This window comes from Homo sapiens, chromosome 2, assembly GCF_000001405.40.
Source record: "Homo sapiens chromosome 2, GRCh38.p14 Primary Assembly".
NCBI lineage: Eukaryota > Metazoa > Chordata > Mammalia > Primates > Hominidae > Homo > Homo sapiens.
The window spans coordinates 219219380-219236006 of NC_000002.12; the positions used below are offsets into that span (position 1 = coordinate 219219380).

The window sequence follows — 16627 nt, forward strand, 5'->3', positions numbered from 1 at the left end:
TCTGGTCAAACTCCCTTTTTATTAAGGGTTATCAAGCTGTACACGGTCCCTACCCTGCTCCGCTCCGAGTTCGGGCAGCGCAATTCACCACTCTCCCAAAGCCGGACCACAGCTGGGTGAGGGGTGGGACAGAGAGTAGGAGCAGTCCCAGCATGCAGTGCAGCAGCCCAAAGCCTCGGGCGAGGCATCGCCCTTCATCCCCCTTCAGGGCACAGCGAGATGCGGGCCAGAGCTCTTTTGCTGGGACGCACACAGCCAAGGTCACCCTCCAGCCCGGTCTGTCCCATGTGCAGGTGATGGGGGGTACGATAAGCAGCAATGAGGGCCCAGGAAGACCTCAGTCTCCTGGGGGCCCATCCTAAAAGATGGCAAGGGCAGCAAAGTATTTCCATCCTGCTCCTACAATTTAGAAACCTTCTTTTTTAGTGTCAAAATATAGCGTTGAGGGGAGCTGGACGCTAGGGTCTTCACCCTAACGCAAAGCAAAAGCCGAACGGAACGGGAGCAAGCGAACAGAACAGGAGCAAGCAGCACACACAGGCCAGTGATGTGCAAGAAGCGGAGAGAGGTGAGCCGGCTGCAGCACTGGGCGAGAACTGCGGGTGAGGTAAGGGCCACAGCCTGACCTGCTCATCTATTGAGGGGGCTAGGGAAGGTTGCAGGGGTTGAGGGTCCAGGCCCAACCTCCCCACTCCACAGTTGGCACAGGTTCTCCCTGCTTGGCAGCTTCTATCGTGGGCAGCCCTCTGGGGACTTGCAGGGGTAGGTGTAAAGGTGGCAGTACTGGGGCTGGGCTGGGGGCCAGTTTCTAGCACCACACTCTGAGCCAAGGGGGTCCTGGGGATGAGGCTAGAGTCCCGTGTGCCCTCGGTTCCTAGGCCCCAAATTCCTCTCCTGGGGCTGTGGCAAGCCCAGTGTTGGCACCTCCCTTGGCCAGGCACAGACACACAAACACCACACACGTGGGGCCAGGGAACACTCAGAGGAGCCGTCCCATGGCAGGCAGACGGGATGGCAGGGCAGCGGTGGCCTCCATCCTGGGCCACAGGAACCCTGCTCAGCCTTGTCTATACCTGTGGGGAGAAAGGGTTGGTAATGGAGATAGTCTTCAGCTTCTGGTTGATACCTGCTAGCCCCATAGAAACCTAGAGGTAAAGGGACAGGAAAGGTTGATTCCTGGGGAGGTAAGGTAAGGAAAAACCAAGCCCTGCAGAGCAGTTGAGAAAAGAAGGGGTAGTGTGTTTTGGAAGGGAGGGTACAGTATCTCTGTGTGGGGGTGGGGCATATCTTCCTTCCCCTGAAAAGCTGTTACCTCACCCTGGAAGTTACTATTTCTGGCAGTTTTTCCTAGGCCCCGGGGCCCTTACCTTGTGCACCTGAGGGGGTAGCTCATCCTCCGAGCCCTCTTCGGGCACGGGCTCAGGGTGCCTTGATGCCGACTGCCCATCTTCTGCCCACCCTCCAAGAGGCAGCCGAGAGAAATGAGAGGGAACCCTGGGCACTGTGCCAGGATCTGGAGAGACAAGTAAGAGTAAGCATACTCATAGAAGGAACACAAGAATGAGGAACAGGGCTGGGGGGCTGCTTGGGGGGTGAGTCTTTGGGCCTGTTCTCTCAGACCTCTTTCCTCCCCTTGAGAGGCCCTGGAAGAACCACCCTTCCCTGCAGCCTCTGTTTCCTCCTATACCCCCACTGGATACCTGTGATGCCACCGTAGCGCCTCTGGAAGCCCCCATGCAGGGCAGTGGTCTCAGGAGCTCCAGGCCGGGGTGCTGCACAGGGATAGCTAGCAGAGCGAGGGATAGACTGGGGGGCCCGGGCGCCCTCTCCCCCTTCATCAGGGGCGCTTTCTCCACTCTCATCACTCTCCCGGCGGTGCCATACATGCCGCTCAGGTTCAGCCTGGGCCTGCTGCTTGTGGAGCTGGAGAAATGGGGGGCTCGTTAGTGGGGGACAGACGGATGTCCATCTGAAACAGCTGCCCTCCAACCTGGTATCAGTCAGTTCCCGCTTTACCCCTTCCCTGAGAATCCTTGCCTCAGAGCACCTATTATGTTAATAGTGTGTAATATACCTCTGATCTTTACAGGTTACATTCACAGCAGATCCCCGGAAGAAGCCTGTGTTGTAATGGCCCTCATTTTACCTATTCATTTGATTCAGGAACAAACTGACTGACGGTCTAAGTGCCAGGCACTCTTTTAGGTGTGGGGAGATAGCAGTGAACAAAACAGACAGAAATGCCAGCCCTTGTGAGGCTTATATACTGGTAGAGGAGATATGGAATAAGCAAATAAATAAGGAAAAAACATGATATGTCACATGGTGCTAAATGCTATGGAGAAAACTAAGACAGGAAGATTCAGGAGGGTGGGCAAGGGAGCCTTTTACTGAGAGTGATCAGAGAAAGTCTCAGGGAAACGGCAGCTGCAGAGACCCAAGAAGAAGGAGGAGGCCATCTGGATATCCCAGGGAACTGGATTCTAGGCAGGGGAAACTGCGAGTGTGTGAAGGCCCTGGATGAGAGCAGGCTTAGCTAAAAAGGATATTAAGAAGGTAGATATGGGAGTGGAGGTGGCAGAACAAGTAAATGGCAGAGAAGGGTTTGGAACCCCGGTCTTGCTTCTCCGCATCTAAACCCTCTACTCTCTTTTTTAGCTGTGCACTCACCTGGTGCATATAGAGGGCATGCAGGCTCATCTCTGTGGATGCATATTCTGACAGCACCAGGCTCTGCAGCTGTCCTTCCCACACGCTGCTCCCGGAGCTGGCTGTCCTGGCATCCACCCTGTCTCTCCCAACAGAGACAGACAGCAGCTGTGAACTTCTCTGAGACCCACACAAGCTGCTGAGGGCTGCCGTGCCCTCCCATCTTGGCCCCGATTTACTCACCCAGAGCCTGTCATGGTGCTGTGAGCCCGGCCTGTGGGCGCCTGCCCGGGTTGCAGCGGGGAGAAGGAGCGCAGGGCAGAGGCGACTTCAGCCCTGTGCCTGGAGCCCTGCAGGTCTCTGGGCAGTGGAGGGCCCCGGCAGGATGAGCCAGCTACCACATTTGCGATAAGGCTCAGGGGCTATGAACGAAACGGGTAGGTAGAATTCTTGAGGCAAGAGAAAGGTCTCTGGGGTCCCCTAGTATTCTGTATCTCAGGCCCCAGTGGCACATACTGAAGAGACAGCAGGAAGCCTTCCACCCCATGCCCGGTCCCTCAACTCCCAGCTCCTGAAGTCCACTCTGCCCATCATCTCCCAGTCACCAGGAACACACCTCAGACTCAGATTGTAAGGACTGGATAGACGTAAAGAGGGCATTTTCAGGGAGCAGACCCCCTTGGGCGAGGCTAGCAGCTGCTCCATCCCGCTGAACCTGCTCCTTGAGGAAGCCTAGGAAGGCTGTGCTCTCACGTGGTGGCTGCCAGCCAGGGTTGGTGATGGCAAAGTGCATGAGTGACAACTCTGTCTTTCCATCCTCAGCTTGCTGGTACACTGAGGCCTCTGTCTGCCCAGCAGATAGCCACTGCACAAGGAAGAGCAGAGTAAGCAGGGCTGTTCTCTTCCAGGAGCCTTCCTGCACCTTTCCTGTTAGTGGGGAGGCCTTACCCTTGGAGAACGGAGACCACAGTATACTGTCAATCTTTCCCAGGGCACTGGTGCCCCCCCAGACCCAGGAGGGGCTGCACTGCATGCTGAGCCAGTTACTTGTGTTGTGCCTTTTTTTTTTTTTTTTTTGAGATGGAGTCTCGCTCTGTCGCCCAGGCTGGATTGCAGTGGCGTGATCTCGGCTCACTGCAAGCTCCGCCTCCCAGGTTCACGCCATTCTCCTGCCTCAGCCTCCCGAGTAGCTGGGACTACAGGCGCCCGCTACCACGCCTGGCTAATTTTTTTGTATTTTTAGTAGAGAAGGGGTTTCACCGTGTTAGCCAGGATGGTCTCGATCTCCTGACCTCGTGATCCACCCGCCTTGGCCTCCCAAAGTGCTGGGATTACAGACGTGAGCCACCGCGCCTGGCCGTGTTGTGCCTTTCTTAAGGGAGCTTGGCCAAGGGTGCGAATTAGGGCTGAAATCCAGCCCAGGCTCCCAAGCAGTGTGCCCCTGGTATAGGACTGCCTTTGTGTGACTCAGGAGAGGTGTCTTTTTGCGGTTTTCCCAAAGACACTGTATGTTCCAGCATCATCCCAGGCCACCTGGCTCCCTCCTCTCCCAGTACCTGGGGATGACCATGCTGGCGAACATCCATCTGAGCAAAGGAGCAGGTATCTCCCACACCAACGACCTCCACGGTGAAGTTTCGGAAGAAGTCTATAATCTCCAGGGCCCGTGGGCGCAGGCAGAAGATGAGGATGAGGGGTGTGACAATGGGGCTCAGCAACTCTTCCAAAATGAACACCTAAAAGGGCGGGACCAAGGTCACAAGCGAGCAGGAGGGAGCCCAGCCCTCACCACCGAGCTACCAGCCAGTCTCTAGCAGGCCCTAACTCCAACTCCACTCACTGCCTTGTACTGGAAGAGCTGGGCAAACTCGTCCCGGGTCTGCGAGCGGTGGGCATTACCCTGCCAGTGGTCAGGCATGTAGTGGATGTGAGCGAGGATCACGCGGAGCAGCTGCTCAGGGCAGAACACCATGTGCTGGTCCGGGATAAAGGACCTAGTGGGATCAGGATCATGGTGAGATGTATGCCTTTCCCAGGAATGCTAGCCGGCTTGCTCCCGCCTGTGGCCCTGGCCCACCTGCACACGGTCACGGTGACCCCCAGGAGTGTGACGGTGGTCAGCACATGTTCCACAGCCAACACATCTTCGTCATAAATGGTGAGGGCAATAAGCACAGCCAGGATGGAGCCAGCGAAGAAGGCTCCATTCTTGGCCAGCAGTGTCAAAAGAGGTGACAAGAAGCAATTCATGTACTTGGAGGCGGGCTTGTAGCCACGGTTGAGGCGGGACTGCAGCTCGTGCTCCAGCTCGTTGAAGTGGCGGAGGTAGCAGCGGCCATAGAGTGACCAGCAGCGTGCTCCCAGGGCCCCCGGCTCCCGCTTCAGCACCTCAGCATAGCTGAAGAAGGCATAGAGGATTTGCCATATGAGGATGAGGGGGCACAGCAGGAAGTTAGCGATGCCAATCCACAGGATGCGGTTGCTGAGGCGCTGGGCCAGCTCTAGCCGTTGCCCCCCACGTTTGTACTCGGCCTTGAGGCTCCATTCATTGAGAAACAGAGAGCCAGGTCCCCAGAAGAGGATCAGCTCAAAGTTGTACTTGAGACCACGGGTGAAGAAGACAGCTTCCCCGAGGCCAGGCAGGCGGAAGCGCAGAGGCAGGAGGGATTTGTTAACCAGTGCCACCATGTAGTTCTGGAAACGGAGGATGCGGTGGTAGATGTCCAGTTCTGTCAGCTCACGTTTGTGGATGCAGATCTGGTGCTCCTTCTGCGTCTGCACGATCCGGGCCTGCACTTCTTGCCACGTGCAATACGGAAGGGCAGACTGCGGGGTGGGGTGGGGAAGAGACAAGGTACGGAAGGTGGGGTTGTTGCCTCGACCCCTTTGCCCTATATTAGAAGTGAGATTCAGGGGTTGTGAGCTTAAGAGACAGTTCCTGATTTGTCAATGACAGATAAGGATAACTGATGCCCAGGAATACACCCACACCTCCCAATACGTCTTAGACTATGGGCTAACTGCCCAACTTCCCAGTCTTACCATAGGGATGCGCAGAGCGTGCAGGTAGAAGGAGTGGATCTCCCAGTAGCAGCAAATGTTATAGATGAACTTGATAAGCCGGTGGATCCAGAAGACACCAGCAATGACCAGGATGGTGATAAGGGAGCCATTTTCCTGAATCCTGGTGGGGAAAAAGAAGGGGAGGAGAGGTGGCCCTCGAGGAAGGAGTCTTGGCAGAGACGCTGCTATCCTGAAGTATTTTTGCTAGACCAAGCCTGAGTCAGTTCTGGAGTATGAGTTGCTGCCTCAGACTCCACTCTATTACCCACCTGCTAGCAGAACTCAAGGCTATGGTGTCCTCTTGACTTGCAGCCCTTACCTGGCACTACAGACTTGAGCAGGCAAAAAGGCGTCTGGCAGAGTGACCTTGACGGGTTCAGTAGGGTGAAGACTGTGGTTCACCATCTTGTTGGCAAATAGGATGTCATAGTCCACGCAGCTGACCAGGAAGGTAGTGAAGGCAACCACAAAGAGGAACTGCCTGGGGAGTTGGGAAGAAGGGGTGCAGTCTGAGAGCCAGAGAGGCTCCAGTGAAACCCAGTGGGAAGAGGAGAGTCTGGAGGTGGCAGAACAAGACTGGGAACTGGAAGGGCCTGGAGAACTCCCAGTGGGCCCTCTCTGCTCCTCAGCCCCACAGGACTGTCTCAGGCCCACTCTTTGCTCTTAGCCTCAGCTGCCACAGCTGCAGCCTACTTTCCTCACCTCATGGTAACCTCAGCCACCACTACTGGACTCTCGAAGGTTTCATCCTGTGGGTCTCTGATCTCCAGTCTCTGATTTCCTTTTGAGGTTGTAGTTAAAAGCCCTTGGGGGAGTTTTCTGATTGAGGGAGGGCTTCCTAACCCCTTCCCCTTCGGCAATGCTATATGGCTTCTCTCTCCCAGGAGGCTCTCTGCCTAGGAGCAGGCCATGGAACAGGCAAGGCAGAACAGAGGCTTTTCTCTGTGGCTGGCATCTCTGAGACCTCCTGACTGAACAATGTACGTTCCATTGGAGCGTTGAGATGATCAAGGTCAAGGCCTGCATTCTTTTTTTTTTTGAGAGAGTCTCACTCTGTCAGCCAGGCTGGAGTGCAGCGGCACAATCTCGGCTCACTGCAACCTCCACCTCCCAGGTTGAAGCGATTCTTGTGCCTCAGCCTCCCAAGTAGCTGGGATTACAGGCGTGTGCCACCACACCCAGCTAATTTTTGTATTTTTAGAGCCTCCTAAAGTGCTGGGATTACAGGTGTGAGCTGCCGTGCCCAACCAAGGCTTGGGTTCTTTTCATGGAAGAGATAAGGCTTGGAAAGCTTTTCTTGTAAGAAAGCTTGGCCGGGCGTGGTGGCTCATGCCTATAATCCCGGCACTTCGGGAGGTTGAGGCGGGCAGATAACCCGAGGTCAGGAGTTCGAGACCAGCCTGGCCAACTTGGTGAAATCCCATCTCTACTAAAAATACAAAAAAAATTAGCCGGGCATGGTGGCACATGCCTGTAGTCCCAGCTACTAAGGAGGCTGAGGCAGGAGAATCACTTGAACCTGGGAGGCAGAGGTTGCACCGAGCCAAGACCACTGCACTCCTGCCTGGGCGACAGAGTGAGACTCACTCCATCTCAAAAAAAAAGAAAGGTGAAGCTGTAAGTTTTGGTGCCACACCCAGTCCCTGAACTACAAAGGTTTACGGAGTTTTAGCCTAGGACTGAGTTGTACTGGCAGGTTGGGCCAAGTGTGAGTGCAAGGAGAGGAAAGACTAAGATGTATTCTTTCACCACATCATCTGTCCCTTCTTATACTTACATGAGCTCAAAGATCTCCCCGATGAGCATACATGTGAAGCCATTCTTCTGGTGCAGATTATAAACGTGTAATTGTTAAGAAAAAGTAGTCAGTAAAGAAAGCAGGTAAGAGCACAGACTTTGGTGTCAACACACTCAAGCTTAAGTCCTGGCTCTGTGACTTTCTAGCTGTGTGACTTTACCAAGTTACTTAACCTGTCTAAACTTTTGTCTGTCCATGGTGGTACATTAGGAATAAATAACACTTGTCTCATAGGAGTATTAGGTCTAAGATAATGCATGTAAAGCATTTAACACAGAGCTGACACAGAATGAGTCAAAAGACGTTACTTATTACGATTATTTACATCCCATCAAAAAGGAGGCTCGGCTGGGTGTGGTGGCTCACGCCTGTAATCCTAACACTTTGGGAGGGCAAGGCAGGTGGATCACTTGAGGTCAGGAGTTCGAGACCAGCCTTGCCACATGGTGAAACCCTGTCTCTATGAAAAATACAAAAAATAGCTGGGCATCGTGGCAGGTGCCTGTAATCCCAGCTACGTGGGAGACTGAGGCAGGAGAATCTCTTGAACCCAGGAGGTGGAGGTTGCAGTGTGTTGAGATCGCCCCTGGACTCTAGCAGCAACAGAGACAGACTCCATCTCAAACAAAAAAAAAAGGAGGCTCACCCTTAGAAAGGCTTCTACAAATTAACACCACAAAGTGGACACAGGCACACAGATCTTGGTAAATGTGGGCTATCATTACTTAACGATGATTTCACCAGCCTCTTTCAGCCTCAGGATGAGCTCCATTCCCGTTTCCAGGTATTAGAGTCAAACCTACCCCCACCTCCCACCAGAGCCCCGGCTTAGAGAGACATTAAAGGTCCCAGAGCTCCAACTCAGAAACACAAAGGATATTCGAGAGAAGAAGAGGTCAAGGTTTTCAATATGGTGCCAAGGTGCTGTGGGATAGGAACAGAGATGTCAGAGCCCTGGGAGAACACAAGCCCCTTGCTCTCTCCATGTTCTTCCATCAACTCTCCCTATGGCTGTCATATCCAAGAACTCACACTTGCTCCCCTCGGCGACGTGCACCAACAGGTCCTCCTCCCCTGGGGGTGAATCACTATAGGAGGCCTCTAGGCGCTGGTATTCAGTGTCAAACTGCGCCATCACCACCGCCCCCTGTCCACCTTGACCACCTGCCAATAAGGAGGAAGAAGAGACCCTGATTCAGTTCCAGCTGCTGCCCATGGGCTGCCCTGCCTACTGCCAAAAGGAGAAAGTACCCTTGGGCTTTGTCCACTACCAGCCTCCTTGGCTCAGAGGCAGAGGAGTAGTGACACAAGAAAGGCAGTAAGCTCAGGGCTGGGGGAGCCTTAACTCTGGCCAGTCTGGGTGTCTACTGCTGCTTTCCTGGCCCAAAGCCAGAATCTGTCCCTTTGTTGGGGGCTGTTTCATCTTCTATTTAACGGACAGAAGAGTCCCTCCCCCGCCCATCCTGGGAACCCTGGTCTCCCAAGAGACTAACAGTTTGGAAGCACTTCACAAACAAATGTTTGAGAAAAGCACATGGCCCTACCAGCTCCATGGACAGTATGTGCTCCTCTCCAGCCCTCGATGCTCTGCAGCTGCTGGAGGAGAAGATGTCAGGCCCCAGAGAGTGGGCAGTGGGGATAAAAAGGAACCCAACCCTCCCAGCCATCCACACCCCACCAAGAGGAGGCCAAGCATGGGGCAGGAAGGCTGCAGTGGGGAAGAAGCACCCTTCCAGCCCAGGACTACGAGCACTTCCTCTGGCTGTGCTAAACCGGGCCACTCTTCCAACTCCAGGGTCTCAAGAAGTAACTTAGGGACCCCATGGAGAATGAGTGGGTACAGACCTGAGGCCAGGGGCGCCTCTGGACTATTTCTCCATTGCCCTACCTTAGCCTCAGAAATGACATACTTCTCAGGGTCCACAAAACCTCAAGAGTCTTTCCTGAAGAGGACCTTTCTGGTCAACCCCTTCTCTTACTTCCCTAGCACCAAAGATCCAGCCGGTGAGCAAACCTTCTGGATGGGAAACCTTGACTGGGTCAGTGTAGACCCCCGATCCTAGGTGAATTTGTGGGTTCCCTAGGTCCTGTAAGCCAGGCATGGTCGAGGTGGTACTCACCTGTCCGTGCAGCCCCTGGGGGCCGTGGATCTTGGCCCAGCCTGGCCCCGGTGGGATTCCCTGGGCTAGTGAGAGCCCTGCCCCTCAGGGAAGTCACCACTCACAGGGTCAGTGTGGACCAGGGCCCGTGGAGCCCCGGCCGGCTGGGCCTGGGCTCAGGGGTTCCTGCGGATGTTGCAGGGATCGAGTCAGCCTTACAGCTGATAGCCCGGGTGGGTTGGCTTGCCTCCCCACACCCAGCCGCGGCGACCGTGGACCGGAGTCCACCTCGCCCCAGGGTCGCCCGGCCCCAGGCCAAGGGCTGGCAGCTCCCAACAGCGGACAACCTCGCGCGCGGCCCCGGCGCCCGCGCGCGCCCCCGTCTGCGCGCGCCAGCAATCAAAACATTCCGGCTGCGCGCCCCCGCCCCGCCGGCGGCGCCCCTTCCTCCGTTACCCGCCGCGAGCTCACTTAGGGCTCCGCAGGCACCCCTGGGCAAGGCCAGACACGGGGCCTGGGATTCCAATAACCGGTCTCACGTCTTACCTCAGGAACAGCGACCCGGGTGATTCCAGAGGCTCCGCCGGCTCCGCTCGGCTCGGCTCGGCTCGGCGCGACCCGCGGCGCTAGGCCGGGTGTCTGCCACTCACTGTCACCCGCAGCCAGGCTGGCCAATAAGCACGGGGGGCGGAGACACAACGGCCAATTCTCGGCTTCAGGGACGGGACTAAAGTCTCGAGGCGGGTCTTGGACAGTCAGCGGCCCAATAGTGTGCTCTACGTGGGGCGGGGCTCAGGTGCGGACGCCGCCGGTTGTCCTCTTCGCTGCTCCGTAGTGACGGGGATTGTTGTGTTGCAGAAATCCGGCAATCGACCTGAGGACTTGCGAGCCGCTCAGCTCCCGGGACGTTTGGTGCGTCTTCTAAGGGCGTGGGCGAGTTTACGCGGGCCAGTTGTTGCTGGTCGCATGGGTAACGAAGAAAGTTCGGCTAGGCAAGCTCAGTGATTTTTAACTCTGTTGGACTCGATTTGGGAGCCGAATGCCTATTTCATTCTTTTGTGGGCTGAGACTGGGGGTTTGAGAAAGTGGACGGGGGCCAAGGTATTCATCTCACAGTTGGTAGCAGGATGAGAGACGAGAAGTCTTGCGGTGCAGGAGAAACCAAGTCAGGCAGGCAGGAGACGCAGCAGTAGGATCTCGTTTGCAGGAGCCCTGTTTCTTACACGCTTTCTACTCCAGGAGCTGCTGCTAAATAATTTCTGCTCAGCCATGTCGCCGGCTCCAGATGCAGCCCCGGCTCCTGCGTCGATCTCCCTGTTTGACCTCAGCGCGGATGCTCCGGTCTTTCAGGGCCTGAGCCTGGTGAGCCACGCGCCTGGGGAGGCTCTGGCCCGGGCTCCGCGTACTTCCTGTTCAGGTATCCTGGAAGGTTTCGTGTGAAACGTGACAGGGCTCCTTACAGCGTATTGCCCGTTCAGGGAACACATTCTTATTGGTATTCCCGAGCTTAGGAGGCCAATTGATTTATCTTTCTGCTTGATTAAATTCACTTAATCTCTGGGTAATGTCCAGCACAGCCCTTGTTTTCAAACAAGTCTTTTTGCCATTGCATGTATCTCCTCACGTTAACACCATTCCCTTCAAAAACACTTTAAACTTTGTAGAGATAAAATTCTCAGATGTATTCCACATTTAACCAGGCCCCACTCAAATTATTCCTTTTTGCTGAATATGAAACAATTTATTATTTGTTTCGTATAGCTTTATTTTTTGAGAGTCTCGCTCTGTCGCCCAGGCTAAAGTGCAGTGGCACGATCTCCACCCACTGCAATCTCCGTCTCCCGGGTTCAAGTGATTCTCCTGCCTCAGCCTCCCGAGTAGCTGGGACTACAGGCCCGCACCACCATGCCCGGCTAATTATTGTATTTTTAGTAGAGACGGGGTTTCACCATGTTGGCCAGGCTGGTCTCAAACTCCTGGCCTCAAGTGATCCGCCTGGGTCAGCCTCCCAAAGTGCTGAGATTACAGGCATGAGCCACCGTGTCGGTCCTGTTTTGTGTAACTTTAGTTTGGCTACATCTTTTCTTGCACCTCTCCTTAGACAAACTGTACACTAATTGGAAATGTAAACTTTAAAAAGCATTTGGGAAGTAGTTTTTGTGCAGTGAAAAATAATTTTAAACTGAACAGAAATTATTTTCTTTAGGATTCACCTAAACAATCTGTTTGGCTAATTTAAATTAGACAAGACTCAAACTCAGCCAGTGGGGAGGACTTGCAGACGCTGGATCTCGGGAGAGGGCTACGTTGGAGAAGTTTAACCGACCCCAAGGCTTTTACCCTCATCGGATTCTTTTCCAGAATGCCCAGGGCCAGTTTTTATTTACATTCGTTTTATTTATTTTATTTTTCTTCATCTTTTTTGAGACAGAGTCTCGTTCTGTTGCCCAGGCTGGAGTGCAGTGGTGTGATCTCGGCTCACTGCAAGCTCCGCCTCCCCGGTTCATGCCGTTCTCCTGCCTCAGCCTCCCAAGTAGCTGGGACTACAGGCATCCGCCACCACACCCGGTTAATTTTTTGTATTTTTAGTAGAGACGGGGTTTCACCGTGTTAGCCAGGATGGTCTTGATCTCCTGACTTCATGATCCGTCTGCCTTGGCCTCCCAAAGTGCTGGGATTACAAGCGTGAGCCGCTGCACCTGGCCAATTTTATTTTATTTACATTCATTTTACGTACATGTTTTCAGAAGCATGTTTATTGCATTAAGTGATTGCTGTACTGTTTATTTCATGACTATTAGAGTGTAAATTCCTTGAAGGCAGTATCATGCCATCTCTTTTGTATCCTCCTCTGCTTTGTATATCACACTCTGAATATAATTCTTGTCACTGTGGATTTGGGCTCCCTTTCTATGTCCAATTCCTCTTCCCTTATTTAGGCTCAGGGGAGAGAGAAAGCCCAGAAAGAAAGCTACTCCAGGGTCCTATGGATATTTCAGAGAAGTTATTTTGTTCAACTTGTGACCAGACCTTCCAGAACCACCAAGAACAGGTAATAGGTCAGGTGCAGAGCTAGATGTTAGAAGCAAAAGTGTAATGGTGGGTGGGGAGAGGTAGACATTTGATTTGTCTTAATAAAGGTCCATGCTTTGACTGAGGCAGTTGGTGTTACCTGGTTGTACTTCCTAGAATACTATAACTGGTCTTGGCCAGTACAAGGCCAGGCTGGGGCATATTTCCACCTTTATCTCACTCTTTGTCTTTGTACTAGAGGGAACATTATAAGCTTGACTGGCATCGGTTTAACCTAAAGCAACGTCTCAAGGACAAGCCTCTCCTGTCTGCCCTGGACTTTGAAAAGCAGAGCTCCACAGGTGATGAGTGGTAGGGGGACCTATGTAGGAGTAGGACATGGAGGTATAAGAAAGCACTAGTTTAGAGTTTGAGGAAAGAACAAAAATGGGGTACCAAACTTGTGTATCTCATATTGTCTGTCTTCAGGAGATCTTTCCAGCATCTCGGGATCAGAAGACTCAGACTCAGCCAGTGAGGAGGACTTGCAGACACTGGATCGGGAGAGGGCTACATTTGAGAAGTTGAGCCGACCCCCAGGCTTTTACCCTCATCGAGTTCTTTTCCAGAATGCCCAGGGCCAGTTTCTTTATGCCTACCGCTGTGTCCTAGGCCCTCATCAGGCAAGTGACAGTACAGGTTGCATGGCTAACCCCAGCCTTTTGTACACCCAGCCTAGATTTCCCTTAGCCTAGTGCATTTCTCCCTGCTTCTCTTCCTTCCTGTTGGTTGTGGGTATCACGCTTGACAACATAGTCTTGAATTGAAACTGGCCTGAATTGTGGAAGGGTTAAGTGTAATGGAATTAAGTTTGGAAACAAACCAATTTAGGTTTGAATTGTGATTCTACCACTTCATCTTGACTGCCTCGCCAAGCCTCAAATTTCCTTGTTTGTCAAATGGAAACAAGCCTCAGGGTGGTAATATTAAATGAGATAATGTTTGTGAAAATTGGCCCTTAGTTTCTTGCTCTCAGTGAATGCAACAGATATGTTTCTGATGCTTCTCTGTCATCAAGGATCCCCCAGAAGAGGCAGAACTGCTGCTACAGAACCTGCAAAGTAGAGGTCCCAGAGACTGCGTGGTGCTCATGGCTGCAGCTGGGCACTTTGCTGGTGCTATATTTCAAGGGTGAGAGGGTGCTGCATGGGGGTAAGGATGGAGTGGATCCTGTTAGCCAGGGAGCACCAGCTGGTCTCCAGTACTGAGTCTGTGCTGTCTACAGAAGAGAAGTGGTGACACACAAAACTTTTCACCGCTATACGGTTCGGGCCAAGCGGGGCACAGCCCAGGGGCTTCGGGATGCCCGAGGTGGGCCATCACACTCTGCTGGAGCCAACCTGAGGCGCTACAATGAAGCCACACTATATAAGGTGAGTTAAGCCTTTTAGATCTGGTGGTACTGATCCATACTTTTTTTGCATCTCTGTTCAACTCACTGTTAAGTAGGGAGGTTTTTGACTCATATCCTTCCAATTTTCATTATAGGTAGACAAAGGTAGATGAGGGATTCCCCAGGAGCCTTAGTCCTCTATTCTTTCTCCGTGTTATCCTCTACTTTCCACCCCTTGCACTTCTGTGGGCCATTTTTTTTAGTTGGAGATTTATAAATAGCAAGTGAAGGTATGCAGGACTGAGTTACTCTCTTCTCTAGGATGTTCGTGACCTGCTGGCAGGGCCAAGCTGGGCTAAGGCGCTGGAGGAGGCTGGTACAATACTGTTGCGTGCTCCCCGCTCTGGCCGGTCTTTGTTCTTTGGAGGCAAGGGAGCACCCCTGCAAAGGGGGGATCCCCGACTTTGGGATATCCCCCTCGCCACCCGCAGACCCACCTTCCAAGAGCTACAGCGTGTGCTCCATAAGCTGACCACTTTGCATGTCTATGGTGAGCCTTTGCTCCAGATCCCAATTCCCTAGACCTTCCTGTTCTCTCCAACCTAAGCCTCCATTCTCATTGGTATATCCAGAGGATTTTCTAAGCCTTGGACTGCAGCCCAGCTACATCTGCATTGAGAGAAACCTGCGCTAGCTTCTCCTCAGCTAAGGTTGAGAAAGATCTTTTCTTTTATGGCAGAAGAAGACCCTCGGGAAGCAGTCAGACTGCACTCACCTCAGACACACTGGAAAACAGTAAGAGAGGAGAGAAAGAAGCCTACTGAGGAAGAAATAAGAAAGATCTGCAGGGATGAAAAGGAAGCGCTGGGGCAGAATGAGGAATCTCCCAAACAGGGTTTGATTACTATCTGGCAACTGTCAGATCTGAGTTTCTGTCCTAAAAATGCACTGGCAAATTCCCTACTCTCATAACTGACCCATTTCCTTATTTAAACACACACCCACAGTGTCTATCTTAGCAATTACTGAGACATGTTTAGTGACCTTTCCAAATCTATTATCTCTTTTGTTATGGATGTTTCCCCAGAGCTAAGAAAATCTTTGTGTGGAGCAGATGCGTGGATGTGTTGCATGGATCTCACATAGTTTATCTTTGATTGGATGCTGTGGTTTGAGGCTGAGGGCTGCTTCCATGCTTTCCTCTATTGTGCGGCACCCTAAGGCTACTCATACGGAGAGTCCAGGGACTTGTTCTTGTCTGGGCTGAGAGCCTCATTTCTGCATGTGATATAATGGACTCAGCTCTTGATGTGCTACTTTTATCTGGGTGACAAAATAAAAACAATTTCATTTCAGGCTTTCATTCTTATGCATCTGCTTCTACCCTCTGAGTACTCCCTAGATGGATTTCACATGTCAGGTTTTTCCCTAGGTTCAGGGTCGGAGGGAGAAGATGGCTTTCAGGTAGAGTTGGAGCTAGTGGAGTTGACTGTGGGGACTCTGGATCTTTGTGAGTCTGAAGTATTGCCCAAGCGGAGGAGGAGAAAAAGGAATAAGAAGGAGAAAAGCCGAGACCAGGAGGCTGGGGCACATCGGACTCTTCTCCAGCAAACTCAAGAAGAGGAGCCTTCCACACAGTCATCCCAGGCAGTTGCTGCCCCCTTGGGCCCTTTGCTGGATGAGGCCAAAGCCCCTGGTCAGCCAGAGCTCTGGAATGCACTGCTTGCTGCTTGCCGAGCTGGAGATGTTGGAGTGCTAAAGCTGCAGCTAGCTCCCAGCCCTGCAGACCCTAGAGTTCTGTCTCTGCTCAGTGCCCCCTTGGGCTCCGGTGGCTTTACTCTCCTGCATGCAGCAGCTGCAGCTGGAAGAGGCTCAGTGGTTCGTCTGCTGCTGGAAGCAGGTGCTGACCCCACTGTGCAGTGAGTAAAGGTCCCCATCCTGAGTCATTTTGGGTATAGAGAGGATAATTTGGAGGTTAAAGTTGGCATTGGCTACTTGGCAATATTCCCTTGGTCTGGTTGGGTGATGTTGGGAAAGGCAGGAGGCAAGTTAAACCCATTTTTGGAGTTTTTGCACCTAGGGACTCTCGGGCCCGGCCACCTTATACTGTTGCGGCTGACAAATCAACACGTAATGAGTTCCGAAGGTTCATGGAGAAGAATCCAGATGCCTACGATTACAACAAGGCTCAGGTCATCTGGAATAGGAAGGACAAGCAGAGTGGGAAGGCATCACAGATCCTGGCTAGATCCTTTCTACTTCTTGCAGTTTTACCAAAGATAACTTATAGGGTCTTATATTTGAAATCCTCCAGGTGCCAGGACCATTGACACCAGAAATGGAGGCACGGCAGGCTACACGGAAAAGGGAGCAGAAGGCAGCCCGGCGGCAACGGGAGGAACAGCAGCAGAGGCAGCAGGAGCAGGAGGAGCGTGAACGAGAAGAGCAGCGGCGATTTGCCGCCCTCAGTGACCGAGAGAAGGTGAGGCTGGAGGTTCTCTTGTCCATGGCAAGGCTTCCTAGAGGTCTAACCCCTTCCCCAGCGTGCAGCTGTCACCTCTTGGGTGCCCTACTCGCCACTGGGGCCTTGTCCTTAACACAACTTGTCTCCCT

General features: G+C 53.0%; 2 protein-coding genes across 12 annotated transcripts in view, besides 7 other annotated features; one reads left to right on the forward strand and one right to left on the reverse strand.

Moving 5' to 3' along the window:
* ATG9A (autophagy related 9A) lies at positions 1-10257 on the reverse strand. Of its 3 annotated transcripts, none has more exons than NR_104255.2 (16): positions 10156-10257; positions 9055-9106; positions 8543-8674; positions 8391-8434; positions 7490-7554; positions 6032-6193; positions 5692-5833; positions 4727-5475; positions 4549-4643; positions 4206-4385; positions 3266-3514; positions 2893-3071; positions 2671-2788; positions 1701-1923; positions 1368-1513; positions 1-1073 (listed from the first exon to the last, which is right to left on the reverse strand). NR_104255.2 is itself a non-coding variant. In NM_001077198.3 (16 exons), exons 3-16 carry the CDS (start codon positions 8643-8645, stop codon positions 1068-1070), a joined length of 2520 nt encoding a protein of 839 aa, NP_001070666.1. In that variant the 5' UTR covers positions 8646-8674; positions 9055-9106; positions 10156-10257; the 3' UTR covers positions 1-1067. The 3 variants fall into 3 exon arrangements, 2 of the variants coding, with proteins under 2 accessions (NP_001070666.1, NP_076990.4); NM_001077198.3 differs by having other exon boundaries at positions 4490-4643; NM_024085.5 differs by lacking the exon at positions 9055-9106 and having other exon boundaries at positions 4490-4643.
* Positions 9197-9745: an enhancer, noted in NCBI's record as "H3K27ac-H3K4me1 hESC enhancer chr2:220093298-220093846 (GRCh37/hg19 assembly coordinates)". NCBI's record gives its function as "activates a minimal SCP1, AML or CMV promoter by ChIP-STARR-seq in naive H9 embryonic stem cells {active_cell/tissue: H9 hESC(naive)}" and the evidence as "EXISTENCE:reporter gene assay evidence [ECO:0000049][PMID:30033119]".
* Positions 9746-10293: an enhancer, noted in NCBI's record as "H3K27ac-H3K4me1 hESC enhancer chr2:220093847-220094394 (GRCh37/hg19 assembly coordinates)". NCBI's record gives its function as "activates a minimal SCP1, AML or CMV promoter by ChIP-STARR-seq in naive and primed H9 embryonic stem cells {active_cell/tissue: H9 hESC(naive and primed)}" and the evidence as "EXISTENCE:reporter gene assay evidence [ECO:0000049][PMID:30033119]".
* Positions 9746-10361: a biological region, named in NCBI's record as "H3K27ac-H3K4me1 hESC enhancer GRCh37_chr2:220093847-220094394".
* Positions 9972-10021: a silencer, noted in NCBI's record as "silent region_12349". NCBI's record gives its function as "represses an Ori minimal core promoter by ATAC-STARR-seq in GM12878 lymphoblastoid cells {active_cell/tissue: GM12878}" and the evidence as "EXISTENCE:reporter gene assay evidence [ECO:0000049][PMID:35858748]".
* Positions 10232-10361: a silencer, noted in NCBI's record as "silent region_12350". NCBI's record gives its function as "represses an Ori minimal core promoter by ATAC-STARR-seq in GM12878 lymphoblastoid cells {active_cell/tissue: GM12878}" and the evidence as "EXISTENCE:reporter gene assay evidence [ECO:0000049][PMID:35858748]".
* Positions 10294-10841: an enhancer, noted in NCBI's record as "H3K27ac hESC enhancer chr2:220094395-220094942 (GRCh37/hg19 assembly coordinates)". NCBI's record gives its function as "activates a minimal SCP1, AML or CMV promoter by ChIP-STARR-seq in primed H9 embryonic stem cells {active_cell/tissue: H9 hESC(primed)}" and the evidence as "EXISTENCE:reporter gene assay evidence [ECO:0000049][PMID:30033119]".
* The window catches only part of ANKZF1 (ankyrin repeat and zinc finger peptidyl tRNA hydrolase 1), a 6874-nt gene continuing 673 nt past the window's right edge, over positions 10427-16627 (forward strand). Inside the window, exons 1-12 of one of the 9 annotated variants that reach the window (NM_001042410.2) lie at positions 10427-10579; positions 10849-11026; positions 12549-12661; positions 12881-12983; positions 13111-13304; positions 13700-13812; positions 13907-14054; positions 14336-14564; positions 14754-14909; positions 15447-15933; positions 16095-16206; positions 16329-16496. In NM_001042410.2, the coding sequence (NP_001035869.1) occupies positions 10879-11026; positions 12549-12661; positions 12881-12983; positions 13111-13304; positions 13700-13812; positions 13907-14054; positions 14336-14564; positions 14754-14909; positions 15447-15933; positions 16095-16206; positions 16329-16496 (1971 nt within the window). In that variant the 5' untranslated portion in view covers positions 10427-10579; positions 10849-10878. Of the gene's footprint in view, positions 10580-10848; positions 11027-12548; positions 12662-12880; positions 12984-13110; positions 13305-13699; positions 13813-13906; positions 14055-14335; positions 14565-14753; positions 14910-15446; positions 15934-16094; positions 16497-16627 lie in introns of those variants that run through there. The other 8 variants (NM_018089.3, XM_011511392.4, XM_047444865.1 and 5 more) reach the window with 8 other exon arrangements.
* Positions 10512-10621: an enhancer, noted in NCBI's record as "active region_17142". NCBI's record gives its function as "activates an Ori minimal core promoter by ATAC-STARR-seq in GM12878 lymphoblastoid cells {active_cell/tissue: GM12878}" and the evidence as "EXISTENCE:reporter gene assay evidence [ECO:0000049][PMID:35858748]".